The sequence below is a fragment of the Homo sapiens genome, chromosome 11 (genome assembly GCF_000001405.40).
Source record: "Homo sapiens chromosome 11, GRCh38.p14 Primary Assembly".
NCBI classification, from domain to species: domain Eukaryota; kingdom Metazoa; phylum Chordata; class Mammalia; order Primates; family Hominidae; genus Homo; species Homo sapiens.
The window spans coordinates 122809141-122828868 of NC_000011.10; the positions used below are offsets into that span (position 1 = coordinate 122809141).

Sequence of the window (19728 nt, forward strand, 5' to 3'; positions counted from 1 at the left end):
CTCGGTTCACTTTAACCTCTGCCTCCTGGATTCAAGCGATTCTCCTGATTCAGCCTCCCACGTAGCTGGGATTACAGGCACATGCCACCACGCCCAGCTAATTTTTTGTATTTTTAGTATAGATGAGGTTTGCCATGTTGGCCAGGCTGGTCTCGAACTCTTGACCTCAAGTGACCCGCCCGCCTCGGCCTCCCAAAGTACTGGGATTACAGGCGTGAGCCACTGTGCCCGGCCTTGAGCTGCCTTTTTACCTGGACTTGCAATTGGGAATTAACTCCTGGCATTGTAGCCTTATGTATTTTGGTCCTCTTTTTCTGCCACCCAATTAAGCAGCAATCTATGAACAATGACTTAATTACTTTAGGGGAGGTCACCATTTAATGGATCCTTCTGATGAATCCTCTTGCAATGTAAATACTCTTCTAAGTTACCAGTTTTACCCATTTTATTTTATTTATCGATTTTTGAAGGGAATGCATTTCTACAAAGCCACTATCCATTTCTGACTGCAATTCTCTAGGGCCACATGAATATCTTTGTATTTAGGTAAAAGTTAAAGCATTAAACCTATCTCCTAATATCCCCTTTCTTTACGACTCTTACTTCAGATCCCATATCTGGGATTTTGTTCCTGTGAAGAATTAGGAGAAACTGGAATATGGCAGCTGACAGATCCACCAATCCTTCCTCTTACCCATGGACCAACTGGGGGCTTCAACTGGAGAGAGACCTTGCTTCAAGAATAAACCACACCAGTGAACAAGAAGGAAAGGCCTTTTGGAGTGTGTCTTTCTGTGTGTTTAAAAACAGTGGGAAAATCCACACCACACTCTAAGTGGACAGCTCAGAATAATTTAGCATATTTCCTTTCACACTTAAAGTTCTTAAGATGAGACTGTGTAAATGAGAGAAAGACTTGATTCAGAGGAAAAAAATGTGTTCTCTCTGGACTCTTGCCTAGCTCACAAGGCTTTGGAGAATTGTCTTCCTAAATCGGGGCACCTGCTACAGAAGAGAATGTTTCGTTCCCTCTGGGTATGCACAGCTAAGGGGCCTCATTTCTCCCAGAGGGAGCTGCTGGCCCGCTCTAAGGGGTGCAAGAGGAAGGAGTGTGCCCAGACCAGCTGGGGGAGCATTGAAAGGACAGCTTGGGGATGGAATTTTTTTTTTTTTATCTCCATTTTCCAGTTAGGTAGAGCCAAGCTGAGGAATCCTTTTAAGATTATTAGAAAACATGCCCTGAAGAGAGTTGTTCTTAGGTTACACATGAAATCCTACCGTCACTAGCCCCCATACACCAGTGTTGCTGGCTGAAGATACCCGCTTAAGGATGCTAACATTTACCCTGGTACTGCCACATTTTCTCTAGAGCAGCTGGCCCTTCTTGCTACAGCCCTATCCCCCCTCCTTGCTTCTGTGAAATGGGGAGACAAAGCACTTTTGCTCTCCAAAGCACTTTTGGATACTCAGGAGGAAAGATAAGATACATGTTTGAAGTATTCAATCATAGGAGCAAAGAACTTGCAAAATATGAAGTGACTTGGAATTAACCATGTTGTAGCCTAACGTGCTACTGCATTTCTAAATCATCAATATTTGCTTGTCTTTGCCCCTAGACTCTAGACTATGTTAACTAGTTAAGGATGTTACATTTTGAAAGGATGTATGTTAGATATATTATTTGCAGCAAGAAGTTCATTCTGTGCAATATGGACATGTTTGCAAACCATACCAAGGGTCAGGTTGTTGTACACTTACAGTACGTGTCAACCATAATGGAACATCCACAAATGCATCAATTATACCAGGGATGTATAGTAAGTCAGGGAACTAATATAAATGATGACAGTCATGGCTGCACTGCTACTTGTGCTGTCGTTTTGTTTGTTTTTCTATGATAATTTAAAATACATAGGTAGGGCTACTGAGGAAATTTGGAGAGCCACATTCTGTGGTTTCTCATTATACTTACTTCCTGCATTTAGAGGGAGTTTATTTAAAAGAAATAAATGACAATCAAACCAAATCATCAGTTATCAATGTCTGTTTAATTGTGTGACTATCTGACTGTTGATGGCCACAGATGATGGTCTCCTATGGTATAGTTCACTCTGTAGAAGATGTATGCAAAGTGAAATGCCAGCCCTTTAAAGAGACATTAGTTAGTGTAAAATGGATCTTTACATGTTGCAGTAACATTGACTATGTTTCAAAACTCAGATGCATAAAACGTAAGGTATATAAAAATACATCTATGCTTGCGTTTGAAACTACAACTTGATAACCCCTAGAAAGAAGAGGACATGAAAGGATGCTGGCTATATATGTTAATGAGCAAAAGGATTATAGTTGTTTTGTTTTGTTTTTAGAGACAGGGTCTCACTATAATGCTTAGACTGGTCTTGAACTCCTGGGCTCAAGCGATCCTCCTGCCCCTGTCTCCCAAAGTGCTAGGATTACAGGTGTGAGCCACCACACCTGGCCCATAGTTGTATTTTTTTTAGGTCACTTAGAAAAATATGTCATGTATTTTACATTTTGAGAAACAAATCAATCATGGTTTCTTCTAGCGTTGCGCAAACACTGACCCAGCTTCTGGGTATGGAAATAACCCTGTGATGATGTGTTAATATAAAATGTTGGGAGGGAATATTCCCAATAAAGGTCTTAAGAGAAAAGTCACATTACAAGTAATGTAATGGCTCTACCATTCATTCTTCTGGTATTTGTAATGAAGTGAATCCACTGTTTAATCAGATCCATAATCTTTAACAGATTCACCACAAATTTTCATGGGCGTTGAGTGCTCAGAATAATGCTTGAACACCTCACCTTGAAACTGTAGCAGTGTGTTCTGGGCAGTATCTGTAATGTATGAAATAGAGTCTGGAATAGGTTATCCACTCCATCTTCTAGGTTATCTTAGTTGTATGACGAACTGATAAATCTGTCTGACTGGGCTACAATCCATTGTTCTTAGTCCAATATGGACACTGCCTTAGGCAATGGTCTATATAAGCAAAAGGAGATAGAGATCTGAAATAATTTTCCGAATAATTCAGGTGGAAAACAAGAAAGATTGTATTTCTCTGCTTTCATTTCAATTTCATTATTTCAAATTGCTTGTCAAAATGGCCCAAAAGATCTGAATTCACATTAAGTTCCCCTTGCACACTTACCTATTTAAAAAACTAAACTTGCACTGCAACTGAGAAATTATTTGTAAATCATGTGGCATCTATGTATAATAAAAGAAAGAGACAACTATATTACTCAATTTCATATACATCCAAAAAGTATAGGCTAATATATATAACCTGAAGTTGCAGCTGGTTCTTTTTGATCTGAAGCTGATGCTTATTAAAACAAATGATGTATGGGGAGAGGAGAAGGAAGGGCAAGGAAGGAATTGACAGATAAGAAGCAAATGGTTTCTTGTACAGAGGAATTTTGTTTTAATGTAGAAAGTTATTTGAAATAAACTAGGTGAAATGAAATTAACTAAAGGTTTTAATCTGGGATTGAAAGCCTGAAAGCATTTCCTGCTTCTACAAGTGTGCCACATCAATCCGGTAATGCCCCAGTGTTATTCACAGACAGAACTTTGTTTCCTGTGATTTTAAAATACCGCGTCTGTTCCTCCATGGACCAGAGTAATTGGCACATTTTAATGCATAAGCTGGGGGTTTCATTTTCCCAGGCTCTCTTCACCATCACTGCATTGGTAGCTAGGAGCTTATTGCTTCACCCCAGTATGGAGTTCAGATTACAGTGTTTTCCATTACATTTAGATTCATAGAATCTGAATGGCTGATTAAATGGCCATCTGATGGCTGAAAGAGGGGCGTATTTTTCACTCTGTAGTGAAAGGCTTGGAGGAGTTTCTACTTTTTATTTTAATTATACTTTAACCAAAGAATTATTTTAAAGTAACCTTATATTTAAAAGATGATTTTGCAAAAAATAAAAAATAAAAAATATGCCTTCTGGAGTGATGTCTGTTTGGTAAATCATTGTTGATAATTTCCTTGTTAGTGGTATTTGGAATGCATATAGATTGTCTTGTCATTGTGCTTAACATTACCATAAGTGTGTCTTTTCCACTCAACTAGCTGTATTCGTATTAAAATGAAGTCTCTTATTTCAATTACCTAGTGTTGTTGGGAACTAATTGAACAGCTACAGTAAAAGAAGTTCCTATCTCATTGCCTTTGTGGAAAGGCTTCCCTATGTGGTAAAAGAAAGGCATTCCTCCGTAACCTAGGCACTCTGCAAGTCCAGTGTTTAATTTCAAAGCAGTGATGAATTGCTCTTTTGAAATTACTCTAAGTAATCCATGTGTTAGAATACAGATGAACCTCCGTTTGATTTCACAGCCTTCAGCACAGGCAACTGTTACTGAGTCTGCACGAACTTAGATAATGAGGTGCAGGGTTATTTGCATTTAAATTGCAATCCAGCACACGTGTGAGAAAGAAGAGGCACTAGTCTAAAAGGCTGCATTGCGGGGAGAGATGAGACAGGCAGAGGAGGGTGGGGTAAAGAGCGATTTAACATCTATTTAGGTTAATGTTCACTTTACAAAGGTGATGGGGGATATTTTGTTAGGTGATAGCAGAAGCTTTTCATTTTTAAACATAGAATTAAAATTGGATTTGCTTCTCTTTAATACTTCAACATATTGAATTTCCCTAGGAAAGTGACTAGCTATAATGAAAATTCAAGCGAAAAGGGAAAAAGATTGTAAATGCAGATGAAATAACTTCATTTTTAAGTACAAATAATAGTAGGATTGGTGTATGTAGGTTTAAAATTATAGTGATGACTAGTCGAACTTAATATACAATCAGTTCTTGCAAATACTTTACACTTAGCTGCCATTACACAACAAATTGGAATTTTCCAGCTGTTCAACTATCATGGACTCTGTACAGGATAGATGTGTATAATGGAAAATATGTACTGCTTCTTTCTTTGATTGCCACTCAAGATGGAAACACCATGCCAAGGCATTTTGGTTATACACAGATCATTCTAAACCTGTTATTTTGGAGAGGTGTATTGGTTTCTTTCTCATTTATAAGGCTATTGTATTTTTTTTTGTATGTGATTCAGGTGTATTTATTTGAAGACTATTTGTAGTTATAGGAAAACCACACCTACCTGTATTGCCAAATTCTTTGTAAACTCTCCGTGGCACTTGTGCTTTCCTGGCTGAGAGCTCTCCCCTGTTGATACAGCTATGGCACCATTGTAATTACAGATGCACCTTTCAGGAGCATCTCCATTAAATGGTTCATAGATGATTTAATAAAAAGAAACTTCTCAGTTGATCCAGAGCAATGTCATTTTAAATTCTGAGTGGTCTCTTCCTATCATGTTTTCAGATGTTACTTTGTTCATTATTATTTCATAAATGTGCATTCAGAGTGTGATTCTGTTTTCAAAAGGCCAGAGGGCGCTTTCTGCTGATGGAAGGGGAGGATGCTCCAGCAGCACTGTGTGTCTCTGGACCCTTCTGACCAGGCATCAAGCCTCCATGCCATTCAGACTGGGGAGCTGAACACCCACTCTGTGTGAAAATAGCAAGCTTCAAAATGCTTCCCCTGCCCTATGTGCAAACTAGGAGACAAAAAATATATTTCCTTCTACCTATCCTAGGTTCATGGCTGAGGCCCCTATAACAAAACATAGATTAACAAAAGAAAAAGCATACAAGTTTTTCATGTCTTGGGGCCAAGGGAAAGCTTTCCCTCTGCCCTCTAAAGGTTCACTGAAAATGACTGACAAGAGGCAGATTAATAGAAAAAGCATAAATAAATTTATTAACTACGTGAGCTTGTAGAGTATCACAGAGTGAGTGCCCAGTCTCCCAACGGGGTACAGATGCTTATATGCCCTACATCTTAGGGGAAAGAGAATGGGGAGGTGTGGGTGATTTTAGGCAGATAGTAAATGATTTTTAAGGAAATTCAATGGACTTGAAGAACATACAATGGTCTGGGACAAAGTCGGTCAGGCCTACAGAGTGGACAGTCATTTGGGACAAAAGTCTGTCCAGGTTTGTTGTCAGACTTTAGTCTTCCATCCTGTGATGTGAGTTCAGTCAATGGAAACTCCGAGAAGGGACCAGAAGTAATTGTTTCCTTCTTTGGTAGATATGAGAATAACCTCATCCTGTGCTTTGGGACAGGTAGAGGACTGAGAGGGGATAGAGGAAGGAAAAGCAATTGTTCTCCTTGGTGGGCCTGTCCAGTCTTTATGTAGATAGGGGAAAGGCTTCTTTTAGCATCTGTTGATCTCTAAGGGCCTTTAATTCAAAATACTCAGCTGGGTGTGGTGGCTCACACCTGTAATCCCAGTATTCTTGGAGATCAGAGCCGGAGAATTGCTTGAGCCTAGGAGTTTGAGACCAGCCTAGGCAACATAGCAAGACCCTGTCACTACAAAAAAATACAAAAATTAGCCAGGTGTGGTGGTGTGCACTTGTGGTCCCAGCTGGTCAGGAGGCTGAGGTGGGAGGATCGCTTGAGCCCAGAATGTCTAGCTGACAGTGAGCCATGACAGTACTCCAGCCTGGGCAACAAAGCGAGACTCAAACAAACAAAAACCCAAAATACTCATTATACCAGGGAGCCATATTTGGGGGTGAAGCTCCCTGTTTTCCTTCACATGACACAAAAGCCTTCATAAGGAAATGAAGATTTGAAGAAAACTAGTTAAACCTGAATATTTCAATGCAAAATTTGATGAAGAATAGATAGTCATGGAGAAACGTGATAGAACTAAGAGTATGATCTAATGGTAATAAACTGGGAGGACTTAATGAGGCCTGTGTGTTCAGATTCCCCTGGGTGTCCCTCTGTCTTCAGAGATGAGGGTGCTCATTTTCTCCCGCTCTAGGGAAGGCACCTTTCACATGAAGTTCTCAGGACCTGCGTCAGGAAAGGTTAGAGTCCTTCCTAGGTTTTATCACCTGATTCAGGGGAGAAGGGTGGGGCGGGGGAGAACAGTCAAAGTGACCTTTCTGCTCCTGTTTTTTTCTCAGATTCCTTCATCTTAAACTATTCAATAGGCTGAGATGCAATATTTTCGGGTATAGTGCCCTGAACTCCATGTCACCTTCATGGTTTACTACTACCCACCATCTACCTCAAGGAGTTGCACCAAGAATGATCCAGAGAGTGAGAATTTGGGTAAGAGAGAGGGCACATTCAGCTCAAACTAGAATCTGCACTTCTAAAAGCCATAGACCATTTTTTGTTGTTGTTGTTGTTTTTATGTTTTTGTTTTTAAGATGGAATTTCACTCTTGTTGCCCAGGCTGGAGTGCAATGTTGTGATCTCGGCTCACTGCAACCTCTGCCTCCCGGGTTCAAGTGATTCTCCTGCCTCAGCCTCCCAAGTAGCTGGGATTACAGGCACCTGCCACCACTCCCAGCTGATTTTTTTTGTATTTTTAGTAGAGACGGAGTTTCACTATGTTGGCCAGGCTGGTCTCGAACTCCTGACCTCAGGTGATCCACCCGCTTTGGCCTCCCAAAGTGCTGGGATTACAGGCGTGAGCCACCGCACCCAGCTGACTCTATTTTTTTGAAGTAATTATATGTTAGGCTAATAAGATCTTAAAATAAGCCTTGAATGCAAATTTGTACCGAGGACATGAATACAGATTTTCATTAACCCAACTGTCTACTACCTTGGCAGGGTTTACTTCCTGAGGAAACATAACAGCTAATGTTCATATCTGACAAAAGACCAGGCTATATTTAGCCTTCTGGCTGGTTCTCAGCCATTCTCTGCTTGACAGATTCCCAAACTCATTCTGCTCTTTTGTGATGTACGTAAAGGCTGCTTGCACATCCAGAGAAAACGAATAGTGTACTTGGGATTTGTTTAAGCTTAAATCAGCAAAGTGTCTGTTTTTGGTTTTTTTGTTTTGGAGGGTTTATTTGAAAGTTGTTTGAGGACCAAAAACAATCTTCTTCCTGAAGAAAGAAAATACTTCACTGTGCCAGAAATAAACATGTAAAGCCCAATTGGCTTGGTTCTGGCTATGTAAAGAGGTAGGGGCGTGAAGGGAATGTACCAAGGGAACGTAACAAGGGAACTGGGTGAAAGATCAAAAGTGGTAAAAGGAAGGAAAGACAGAAATGATAACTGGTAAAACAAGTTTTAGAGGAGCCAGTCTGGAAGTTTTCCAAAAAGGCCAATGACGTTCTAGTTAGCAAAAAGGAAAAAGAAAAAAAAAAAAGGCCAGGCACAGTGGCTCATGACTGTAATGCCAACACTTTGGGAGGCCAAGGCAGGCAGATCAGCTGAGGTCAAGAGTTCGAGACCAGCCTGGCCAATATGGCGAAACCCTGTCTCTACTAAAAATACAAAAATTAGCCAGGTGTGGTGGTGCATGCCTGTAATCCCAGCTACTTGGGAGGCTTAGGCAGGAGAATTGTTTGGACCTGGGAGGCAGAGGTTGCAATGAGCTGAGATGGAGCCACTGCACTCCAGCCTGGGTGACAGACCAAGACTCTGCCTAAAACAAACAAACAAACAAACAACAAAAAAGGTGGGGAATGTGGGATAATTTGGCTGACTAAGAAGTTCTCATGGGAGAAATAAGATCCCAACAAGAGGAGAAAAGCCTTAAAAATATATATAGTCTGAATATCACCTTTTAATTAAGCTGACTTCTGAGAATAATGCTCTTTTTAAAAATCTTTTAAGTATATCATTAGCAGTTTTGGGCAAACAGCAAACATTCTCATTTCCTGGCTTTTCTTTCCCTGAAGTTTGCATTTTAAGAGGGATGGTTTCTTAGGTAAGACAAGGGAGAGAATTGACAGGTACAGAGAAATACTGAAAGTTTTTAGAGGTTCAGGGTAATTAATAATCAAATTTCTCTTTTGAGTACAAAGTACCTTTTTAGCTCAAATGAGAAGGCAGAAAGCAAACCAATAAAACAAAAAAAAAATGTTTTTAACATGCTCTGAATATAAACCAAAATTTTAATCCAAAGGTATATTCAACAAGTGACTCAAGACTCAACTAATAAGCCCCTTTATGGCTTTAACCAAGGTGGCCTTTCCAAGATCCAGACCACTCTCACAGGACAACCAAGGAAAGGAAAGCTTAGCTAGCCACAAATGGATGTAAACCCACATTTTAGTTCACCCATATTCTTGAGGCGCTCAACTTTTTGTTTGGCTGCCTGCAGCAAAGAAATCTGGGATAACCTACATGCCCCTGATAAATGGAGAATCAAAAAGAAAGAACAGTCAGTAAGACAAAACAGGAAAACAAAAGTTGTCCATCTTTGCAAAAATTATGACTGAGCAAATTATTACAGTGAAAGAGATCTGACCTAACCAATTTTGTCTGGCTTCTAACCTCTAAGCTGTCCTTGTTCATTTCTAGGTGTAGGCCAAACTAACTTGGGGGGAACTTAGTTTATAGTTTAACTTTGAAACAAAGACAATAACAGCCTTCTCCAAAAACAAACCCCCTTCTTGTCAGGGGACTATACTGCCTTTGTAGGACTAAAAAATTAGCCACAGGATTAGAAATTATGGCTTAGGAGTCATTGCTGTAAAATCTGAGATCAGTGTTTGAGATATTTTGCAGACCCTGCATTGATTGATACACCAGCTGATGCCACCCAAATTGATAAACTGGGTCATCTGATTTTGTGTCATCCACCCAGGAACTGACAGCACAAGAGGACAGCTTCAAACCCCTATGATTTCATCTTCTACCTGACCAATCAACACTCCCTGCTTTCTGATTCTCTACACACCAAATTATCCTTTAAAACTCCAATTCCAAAATTTTGGGGGAGATTGATTTTAGTAATAACTTTGTCTCCCCATGTGGCATGGCTGGCCTCACATCAATTAAACTTTTTCCTTACTGCAATGCCATGGTTTTTATTTGTGCAGTGGGCAGGAAGAACACATTGGGCAGTTCCAAATTTGAGGGCTCATCCAGGATCACCCTTGTGACTACTGCTTGTGGTTTGGTAGCCCCCTCTCCAGCAATGGATCTAGAGGCCAGCCCAAGAGGCTGCCTAATTCTCTTGGACTGGAGGCTGTCTCTGGCACTGTTTCTACTGGCAGGGCATTGACAATCCATGGTGCATGGATTTCATTGCAATGGAGAAAAAGTCCTATAACTGTAACCCCATCATTAGATGTCTGTCTGTGGTCCTATCATGGGGTGTCTGATTTGGTGCATATTCTAGGTGCTTCCAGCACCTCCTTTCTTCTCCTGATTGGTTTGGCTTCTTCTGGGGTCTTGGTTCAGCTCCTTTAAGGGGCTTGGCTGAATCTCCCTAAATAGTAGGAAGAGTCTTGGTTCAGGAGATTTTTCCTTAATCAGGAAGATTTTGGGGAGATTTCTCAGGAAGAGAGTAGGTGGTTAGTTTGGAAAGAATACTTAGAATTATTGGTTAGGGATCTTTGTTTAGAAGGTCTTCTGTCTGTCTTGTGTTTGTTGTGTCTGTGTTTGTATATGTGGAGGTGATCTCTGAAAAAAATGCTAATGGAAGTCAAGCAGGCCTAACTTGGAGAACTCTCCTTATTTGGTCACATTAGGTAAACCCTGAAGCAATTGTTAGCAGAAGCTCCACAGGTCTGACACAGGGTGACCATCTGCTCTTCATCTTGCCCACAGATCACCCACTGAATTCGCAGTTGAAGGTCATCTCTCCCCACCTTGAGTGGATCAAAGATGACAGGGATGAACAGGGGCAAATTTGAGCCTTGCCAGGTCAATATCAGGTGCTGAGAAAGGTGACTAGTGTCTATTTTGTTATATGTATTTTGCTTTGGCTGGGATGGAAAATGTTCATTTGTTCCCCAGGCAGTCTGTTGGGCATCATCTTGCAAAACTGACAGGCTTTTGCCTATGGTTTTATGAAACAAAAGGAGATGATTTTCCCTTGTGATGCTTCTTGGCTCCCATGGTCCTTGGAATAGAGGGGGAAAAAACAAATTTTCAGTACTTTCATGGAGAGCTAATATATTCTTGAGGTTTGCTAATTCAGTATCAAGCAGAACAGGAGTTAATGCATGGACTGAACTAATAGAAGACTGAAATTATCTCTTATGATTTTTTGTTTAAAACATTTACTGATTCTTTATGTTTTGTTTTTAGAGTCAAGAAAAATTTTTTTTCTTTTGAGCTAACTACAGCTTTTATCAATTGAATAAAGTATACTCTGTGAGAAAACCTTGGAGCATATTTCTTTCTCTCTACCTGATTTCTCCGGAATTTGGAAACTATTTGTGAGTATTCTTAACTTTATGGCAGTATAGTTATTTGCCTACATGTAATAATAATGTTTGCTTTTATAACAGGACATCGCTGGAGACACTGATTATTTTACCAAGGTTTTGACTGTAATGGCATACTTCCATATACAAACAGACTGCTTTAAGAAATCAAAGTTGACTTATAGGGCCAAGAAAACCCCTGGTAAACACTGGCCTTAAACCTTTTCTATGCAGTCCCTGTCCAGGGTTCTCGATCTGTGGTAAGTGAACAATATCACTTTCTGACAAGCCCAGGAGCCCCAAGTTATCTTGGAACCTCAAGGAGAGGAATTCACCCAAGGGTCATACTGATATTTGCAGGCACAGATAAATCCATGGCTGGGCTCAAGGCTTTGAAAAATCTAAGCTGAAATTCCTTATGGAATAAAGTTCCATTAAAGTCAATTTTCAAAAAAGCCTATATGGCAAATAATTATTCTTGCTGACTTTATGCAAATATTCATGCCAAGTATGATAAGACTAACACTTATTTTGCAAGCAAATTTGTTTTTAATAAAAATGGGGACTGGAGAGAGACAAACTGTATTTCAGAGAAAGCTATAGTACCTCTGTTGTTAGATTCTAGTCTTGTCCACTGCTTTTGAGTTTTTATTATTTTCTGCAATTTAGACTGATTCCTGAATTCTTTCTGGGTTACAGGTCCCAAAACTAATGTTTTCAAATCTTTCTTTCATTTTTCTGACTTGAACTCAGTGAAATTGCTGCTATATCTTCCCTGAGGCCCTGAAAGCTGAAGCTTATTCCTTGTGGTACAGGCAAGAAAAACATGTCAGATTGCCACTGCCTTCCTCCTCTATAACTAAAGATGCTTTGAGTCTAATGTTTCAATAAATTATGCCCAACATTAACCTTTGTTTTTCTTCTGTTTCCACAGAAATGCCTCCTATTAAAAGCTTGTTTGCTGTCATCACATACAGAAGCCTAGCCCATCTGCACTGCCACTTCCTGATATGGTAAACAGCTATTTAACTGAACTGATCTAGTCTCAGGACTAGGAAACCAATTAAAAATATATGGGTTGGTATATTTAAATTTGCCCTTTCCTGTCTATCCTAATCAGTCTTTCTAATAACCTCTGACCCAAATATCTCTCTACTACAGACCCCATTTCTGATTGATTCTTCGCGCTATTCACCTGGATCCCTCAGAGCTTCAGATCAGTTCCACAAAGGCTTCTGAAGCTAGGACTCTCACTCCTTACCCTAGAACTCATTATTTACTTTATAGCTCATTTAAATGCTGTGCTAAAACGATAGAGAAGAATACTAATGCCTTTGTCATGCAAGCCTTGAAACCCCGATTAGGCACCCTGAGTGTGTGCAGACAGCTGCAAGGCAGTTCCACTCCTCTTACCTTGGAGTCAGCTCCTACTCCCATCATGCCACATGTCAGCAAGAAAAAGCTAGAGTGGTCATTGTGCTTTTTCCATCTTCATAGCCCACATCTTAAGAATAAGGTGTTATAAAACCCAAAGAGAGAGACTGAAACTGCCTTTGCAAAAATTACTGAGAAAATTATTACAGTGAAAGAGATCTGACCTAACTGACTCCATCTGGTTTCTAACCTCCAGACTGCCCTTGCTCATCCCTGGATGTAGGGTGAACTAACTTTGGGAGGAACTTAGTTTATAGTTTGACTTTGAAGCTAAGATGATAACAGCCTTTCCCAAAACAAACTCCCTTTTTGTCTGGAAACTAGACTACCTTTGCAGGACTAACAAATTAGCCACAGGATTAGAAATTATGGTTTAGGAGTCACTGTTGTAAAACTTGAAATCAGTACTTGAGCTTTTTGTTTTGTTTTGTTTTGTTTTTTGCACTCCCCATATTCCGATACACCAGCTGATGCCACCAAGATTGATAAAATGGCTCATCTGATCTTGTGGCCTCCACCCAGGAACTAACTACTAGCACAAGAAAACAGTTTCAACTCCCTGTGATTTCATCTCCAACCCAACCAATCAGCACTGCCTACCTTCTGACTCACTACTCACCAAATCATTCTTTAAAACCCCAGTCTCCAAATTTTAGAGGAGATTGATTTGAGTAGTAACTCCATCTCCCATGCTGGCATGCCTGGCCAGCCTGACATCAATTCAACTCTTGCTTTATTGCAATGTCATGGTCTTTATTTGTGCAGCAGGCAGAAGAACCCATCAGACAGTTACAGCAGGGGGAGGATCATTAAGGAGTGTCCAGAGTCATACAAATAGCTTCCAAACCTCTAAAGGTATTCCTGCCTCAATTGTGACTCAAAATCAGTAAGAATTTTTATAACTTAAAACCAATAAATGTAAGAACTGAGTTTTATGGAGGATACATGCAGTCCCTCTCAAGATCTAAAGTCTCTTTCAAAGATAGCCTAAGACAGCAAAGATCCTCATTGTTAATAAGACAATGAAGTTTAAGACAATTAAGACAAATTTTCTTGAGAGCTGGCACATTCAGATAAACGGACATTTTGGACTCTCAGCCAACTGGCTGCCTGCCTGGCATAAACCTGATAATTTATTCCCTTTGAGGTAGCACCTGAGAATAAATTCGCTGATTACAAAGCCAAGTTTCTCAAGACATAAAAACAAGACAAAAAGATAATCTTATTATGGTTTTCCTCCTTATGACAAACCACACCAAATACAAAAGCAAGAAGAACAAAGACCATTTATAGGAGTTTATAGATCAATAATCAATAAGCCTAAGATAAGTCTACAAGAGTCACAGATTCAAAGCACTAATTTAAAAAAAATTCTCCTGTTATTTTAATTTTGGAAAAGAAAAAGAGACAAGAGGTGACTCTTACTGTCTGCTCAACTGGATCCCATAGGTAAAGATCCATAGGACTGCCTGATAAGAATTTCCTAACCTTTTCCCAGCTTCATCAGGTCCTAGGTTCTCTCAATTGTAGCTTCCAGAGGAGCAGAGCAGTTTTAGTATCCTGCCAGTTGTGCCAAATCTGTAAAGCAAAGAGAACTTCCCACCTCCTCTGAAAGTTCAAGTGTGCTAAACAAATGGACAATACACAGATTAACAGGAGGAAAGGCATGCAAATGAACTCACCTCAGACATAGGAGTTCCGCAAATATACAACTCTAAGAACGGCCAGATTGTTGAGGCTTAAATACTCTCTTTATAGGAAAGAGAGAAATGACAGTGTAAGCGATTTTGAGGGGTGGTAAGTGATTTTCAGGAGAATTAAATGGGCACAAAGAGCCAATAATAGTTTATAACTGATTCTCTTTTGAAACAAAATGGGACCAATAAGTTATGGAAAGGTGAGGGGCAGAACTGCACTGCAAACAAAGGTTGCCTTATTATGCAGATGAAGTCTCCGAGGTCATCTCTCAGAGCTGTCCTTAGAATAATAGATGAAAAGTCTGTCTGGGTGTGGTAACAATTTTTAACCTCTTCTGTGGTGGTTAATCTTGCCTGGTTATTTGATGAGATACTTACAGAGGAGTTCTTTTATTATTATTATTTTTTGAAATGGAGTCTCGCTGCAATGCCCAGGCTGGAGTACAAAGGCATGATCTCAGCTCCCTGCAACCTCCGCCTCCCAAGTTCAAGTGTTTCTCCTGCCTCAGCCTCCTGAGTAGCTGGGATTACAGGCACCCACCACCACGCCCAGCTAATTTTTGTATTTTTAGTAGAGATGGGGTTTCACCATATGGGCCAGGCTGGTCTCAAAGGTGTGAGCCACTGTGCCCGGCCCAAAGGAGTCTTAAGACAAATTGCATTTCTTTTGAAAGGAACTTCCAGAGAGAGCCCCTCTCTGGACTTGGGGGAGAAAAGCAAGAGAAGGTTAGAAAGCCCTTGGTGCTGAGGCAGCTTCTCACATCTTCCCAGTTTCTTTAATTCAAAAGTGTTCAGCACCATATTTTGGAGTATTGTTCTCTGAGTCACAATAAGAATGGTAAAAATTGATGTGTTGGTTGAATTCTGTAGCTTGTCTAAGATGTTGCTGTCAGGCCTCTGAGCCCAAGCTAAGACATCATATCCCCTGTGCACATACATACCCAGATGGCCGGTTCCTGCCTTAACTGGTGATATTCCACTACAAAAGAAGTGAAAATGGCCTGTTCCTGCCTTAACTGATGACATTATCTTGTGAAATTCCTTCTCCTGGCTCATCCTGGCTCAAAAGCTCCCCTACTGAGCACCTTGTGACCCCCACTCTGCCCACCAGAGAACAACCCCCTTTGACTGTAATTTTCCTTTATCTACCCAAATCCTATAAAACGACCCCACCCTTATCTCCCTTCGCTGACTTTCTTTTCAGACTCAGCCCACCTGCACCCAGGTGATTAAAAGCTTTATTGCTCACACAAAGCCTGTTTAGTGGTCTCTTCAAACAGACGCGCATGAAATTTGGTGCCGTGACTCAGATTGGGGGACCTCCCTTGGGAGATCAATCCCCTGTCCTCCTGCTCTTTGCTCTGTGAGAAAGGTCCACCTACAACCTCAAGTCCTCAGACCGACCAGCCCAAGAAACATCTCACCAATTTCAAATCCAGTAAGCGGCCTCTTTTTACTCTCTTCTCCAACCTCCCTCACTATCCCTCAACCTCTTTCTCCTTTCAATCTTGGTGCCACACTTCAATCTCTCCCTTCTTTTAATTTCAATTCCTTCAATTTTCTGGTAGAGACAAAGGAGACACGTTTTGTCCATGGACCCAAAACTCCGGCGCCGGTCATGGACTAGGAAAGGCAGCCTTCCCTTGGTGTTTAATCATTGCAGGGATGCCTCTCTGATTATTCACCCATGTTTCAGAGGTGTCAGACCACGCAGGGATGCCTGCCTTGGTCTTTCACCCTTAGTGGCAAGTCCTGCTTTTCTGGAGGAGGGGCAAGTTTCCCAACCCCTTCTCTCTGTGTCTCTACCCCTTCTCTGCCTTTCTGGGGGGCAAGAAACCCCCAACCCCTTCTCCTTCACTCTTAGTGGCAAGTCCCGCTTTTCCAGGGGAGGGGCAGGTACCCCAACCCCTTCTCTCTGTGTCTCTACCCCTTCTCCGCCTTTCTGGAGGGCAAGAAACCCCCAACCCCTTCTCTCTGTGTCTCTACCCCTTCTCTGCCTTTCTGGAGGGCAAGAAACCCCCAAACCCTTCTCCTTCACCCTTAGCAGGAAGTCCCACATTTCTGGGGGAGGGGCAAGTACCCCAACCTTGTATCTCTGTGCCCTGATCCCTTATTTCTGCGCTCCAACCTCTTATATCTCTGTGCCCCGATCCCTTATTTCCATGCCCCAACCTCTTATATCTCTGCACCCTGATACCTTATTTCTGTGCCCCAACCTCGTATCTCTGTGCCCTGACCCCTTTCCTGCTTCTCTGGAAGGTAAGAACCCCCAAACCACTTCCCTCTGTGTCTCTACTCTCCCTTTTCCTTAAACTTGCCTCCTTCACTATAGGCAACCTTCCACCCTCCATTCCTCCTTCTTTCTTCTCCCTTAGCCTGTGTTCTTAAGAACATAAAACCTCTTCAACTCTCACCTGACCTAAAACCTAAATGCCTTATTTTCTTCTACAATGCCGCTTGACCCCAATACAAACTCGACAGTAGTTCTAAATGGCCAGAAAATGGCACTTTCGATTTCTCCATCCTACAAGACCTAAATAATTTTTGTCAAAAAATAGGCAAATGGTCTGAGGTGCCTGACATCCAGGCATTCTTTTACACATCGGTCCCTCCCTAGTCTCTGTGCCCAGTGCAACTTGTCCCAAATCTTCCTTCTTTCCCTCCCACCTGTCCCCTCAGTCCCAACCCCAAGCGTTGCTGAGTCTTTCTAATCTTCCCTTTCTACAGATCCATCTGACCTCTCCCCTCCTCCCCAGGCTGCTCCTCGCCAGGCCGAGCTAAGTCCCAATTCTTCCTCAGCCTCCGCTCCTCCACTCTATAATCTTTTTATCACCTCCCCTCCTCACACCCGGTCAGGTTTACAGTTTCATTCTGTGAGTAGCCCTCACCCACCTGCCTAGCAATTTCCTCTTAAAAAGCTGGCTGAAGCTAAAGGCATAGTCAAAGTTAATGCTCCTTTTTCTTCATCAGACCTCTCCCAAATCAGTAAGCGTTTAGGCTCTTTCATCAAATGTAAAAAACCCAGCCCATGGGCAAAGACACAACCAAAAAAGAGAATTTTAGACCAATGTCCTTGATGAACATTGATGCAAAAATCCTCAATAAAATACTGGCAAAACGAATCCAGCAGCACATCAAAAAGCTTATCCACCATGATCAAGTGGGCTTCATCCCTGGGATGCAAGGCTGGTTCAATATACGCAAATCAATAAATGTAATCCAGCATATAAACAGAGCCAAAGACAAAAACCACATGATTATCTCAATAGATGCAGAAAAGGCCTTTGACAAAATTCAACAACCCTTCATGCTAAAAACTCTCAATAAATTAGGTATTGATGGGACGTATTTCCAAATAATAAGAGCTATCTATGACAAACCCACAGCCAATATCATACTGAATGGGCAAAAACTGGAAGCATTCCCTTTGAAAACTGGCACAAGACAGGGATGCCCTCTCTCACCACTCCTATTCAACATAGTGTTGGAAGTTCTGGCCAGGGCAATTAGGCAGGAGAAGGAAATAAAGGGTATTCAATTAGGAAAAGAGGAAGTCAAATTGTCCCTGTTTGCAGATGACATGATTGTATATCTAGAAAACCCCACTGTCTCAGCCCAAAATCTCCTTAAGCTGATAAGCAACTTCAGCAAAGTCTCAGGATACAAAATCAATGTGCAAAAATCACAAGCATTCCTATACACCAACAACAGACAAACAGAGAGCCAAATCATGAGTGAACTCCCATTCACAATTGCTTCAAAGAGAATAAAATACCTAGGAATCCAACTTACAAGGGATGTGAAGGACCTCTTCAAGGAGAACTACAAACCACTGCTCAAGGAAATAAAAGATGATACAAACAAACGGAAGAACATTCCATGCTCACAGGTAGGAAGAATCAATATTGTGAAAATGGCCATACTGCCCAAGGTAATTTACAGATTCAATGCCATCCCCATCAAGCTACCAATGCCTTTCTTCACAGAATTGGAAAAAACTACTTTAAAGTTCATATGGAACCAAAAAAGAGCCTGCATCGCCAAGTCAATCCTAAGCCAAAAGAACAAAGCTGGAGGCATCACGCTACCTGACTTCAAACTATACTACAAGGCTACAGTAACCAAAACAGCATGGTACTGGTACCAAAACAGAGATATAGATCAATGGAACAGAACAGAGCCCTCAGAAATAACGCCGCATATCTACAACTATCTGATCTTTGACAAACCTGAGAAAAACAAGCAATGGGGAAAGGATTCCCTATTTAATCAATGGTGCTGGGAAAACTGGCTAGCCATATGTAGAAAGCTGAAACTGGATCCCTTCCTTACACCTTATACAAAAATTAATTCAAGATGGATTAAAGACTTAAACGTTAGACCTAAAACCATAAAAACCCTAGAAGAAAACCTAGGCATTACCATTCAGGACATAGGCATGGGCAAGGACTTCATGTCTAAAACACCAAAAGCAACGGCAACAAAAGACAAAATTGACAAATGGGATCTAATTAAACTAAAGAGCTTCTGCACAGCAAAAGAAACTACCATCAGGGTGAACAGGCAACCTACAAAATGGGAGAAAATTTTCGCAACCTACTCATGTGACAAAGGGCTAATATCCAGAATCTACAATGAACTCAAACAAATTTACAAGAAAAAAACAACCCCATCAAAAAGTGGGCGAAGGACATGAACAGACACTTCTCAAAAGAAGACATTTATGCAGCCAAAAAATACATGAAAAAATGCTCACCATCACTGGCCATCAGAGAAATGCAAATCAAAACCACAATGAGATACAATCTCATACCAGTTAGAATGGCAATCATTAAAAAGTCAGGAAACAACAGGTGCTGGAGAGGATGTGGAGAAATAGGAACACTTTTACACTGTTGGTGGGACTGTAAACTAGTTCAACCATTGTGGAAGACAGTGTGGCGATTCCTCAGGGATCTAGAACTAGAAATACCATTTGACCCAGCCATCCCATTTCTGGGTATATACCCAAAGGACTATAAATCATGCTGCTATAAAGACACATGCACACGTATGTTTATTGCGGCATTATTCACAATAGCAAAGACTTGGAACCAACCCAAATGTCCAACAATGATAGACTGGATTAAGAAAATGTGGCACATATACACCATGGAATACTATGCAGCCATAAAAAATGATGAGTTCATGTCCTTTGTAGGGACATGGATGAAATTGGAAATCATCATTCTCAGTAAACTATCACAAGAACAAAAAACCAAATACCACATATTCTCACTCATAGGTGGGAACTGAACAATGAGATCACATGGACACAGGAAGGGGAAC

At 41.0% G+C, this 19728-nt stretch overlaps 1 protein-coding gene across 4 annotated transcripts in view, besides 2 other annotated features; it reads left to right on the forward strand.

Annotated features, from left to right (window-relative positions):
• UBASH3B (ubiquitin associated and SH3 domain containing B) overlaps window positions 1–5333 on the forward strand; it is a 158752-nt gene extending 153419 nt beyond the window's left edge. For all 4 annotated transcript variants that reach the window (NM_001363365.2, NM_032873.5, XM_005271712.4 and 1 more), the window contains exon 14: window positions 609–5333. In NM_001363365.2, the coding sequence (NP_001350294.1) occupies window positions 609–746 (138 nt within the window). In that variant the 3' untranslated portion in view covers window positions 747–5333. The remainder of the gene's footprint in view (window positions 1–608) is intronic.
• Window positions 3452–4060: an enhancer, noted in NCBI's record as "OCT4-NANOG hESC enhancer chr11:122683300-122683908 (GRCh37/hg19 assembly coordinates)". NCBI's record gives its function as "activates a minimal SCP1, AML or CMV promoter by ChIP-STARR-seq in naive H9 embryonic stem cells {active_cell/tissue: H9 hESC(naive)}" and the evidence as "EXISTENCE:reporter gene assay evidence [ECO:0000049][PMID:30033119]".
• Window positions 4061–4668: an enhancer, noted in NCBI's record as "OCT4-NANOG hESC enhancer chr11:122683909-122684516 (GRCh37/hg19 assembly coordinates)". NCBI's record gives its function as "activates a minimal SCP1, AML or CMV promoter by ChIP-STARR-seq in primed H9 embryonic stem cells {active_cell/tissue: H9 hESC(primed)}" and the evidence as "EXISTENCE:reporter gene assay evidence [ECO:0000049][PMID:30033119]".
• Window positions 5334–19728: the final 14395 nt, after the last annotated feature.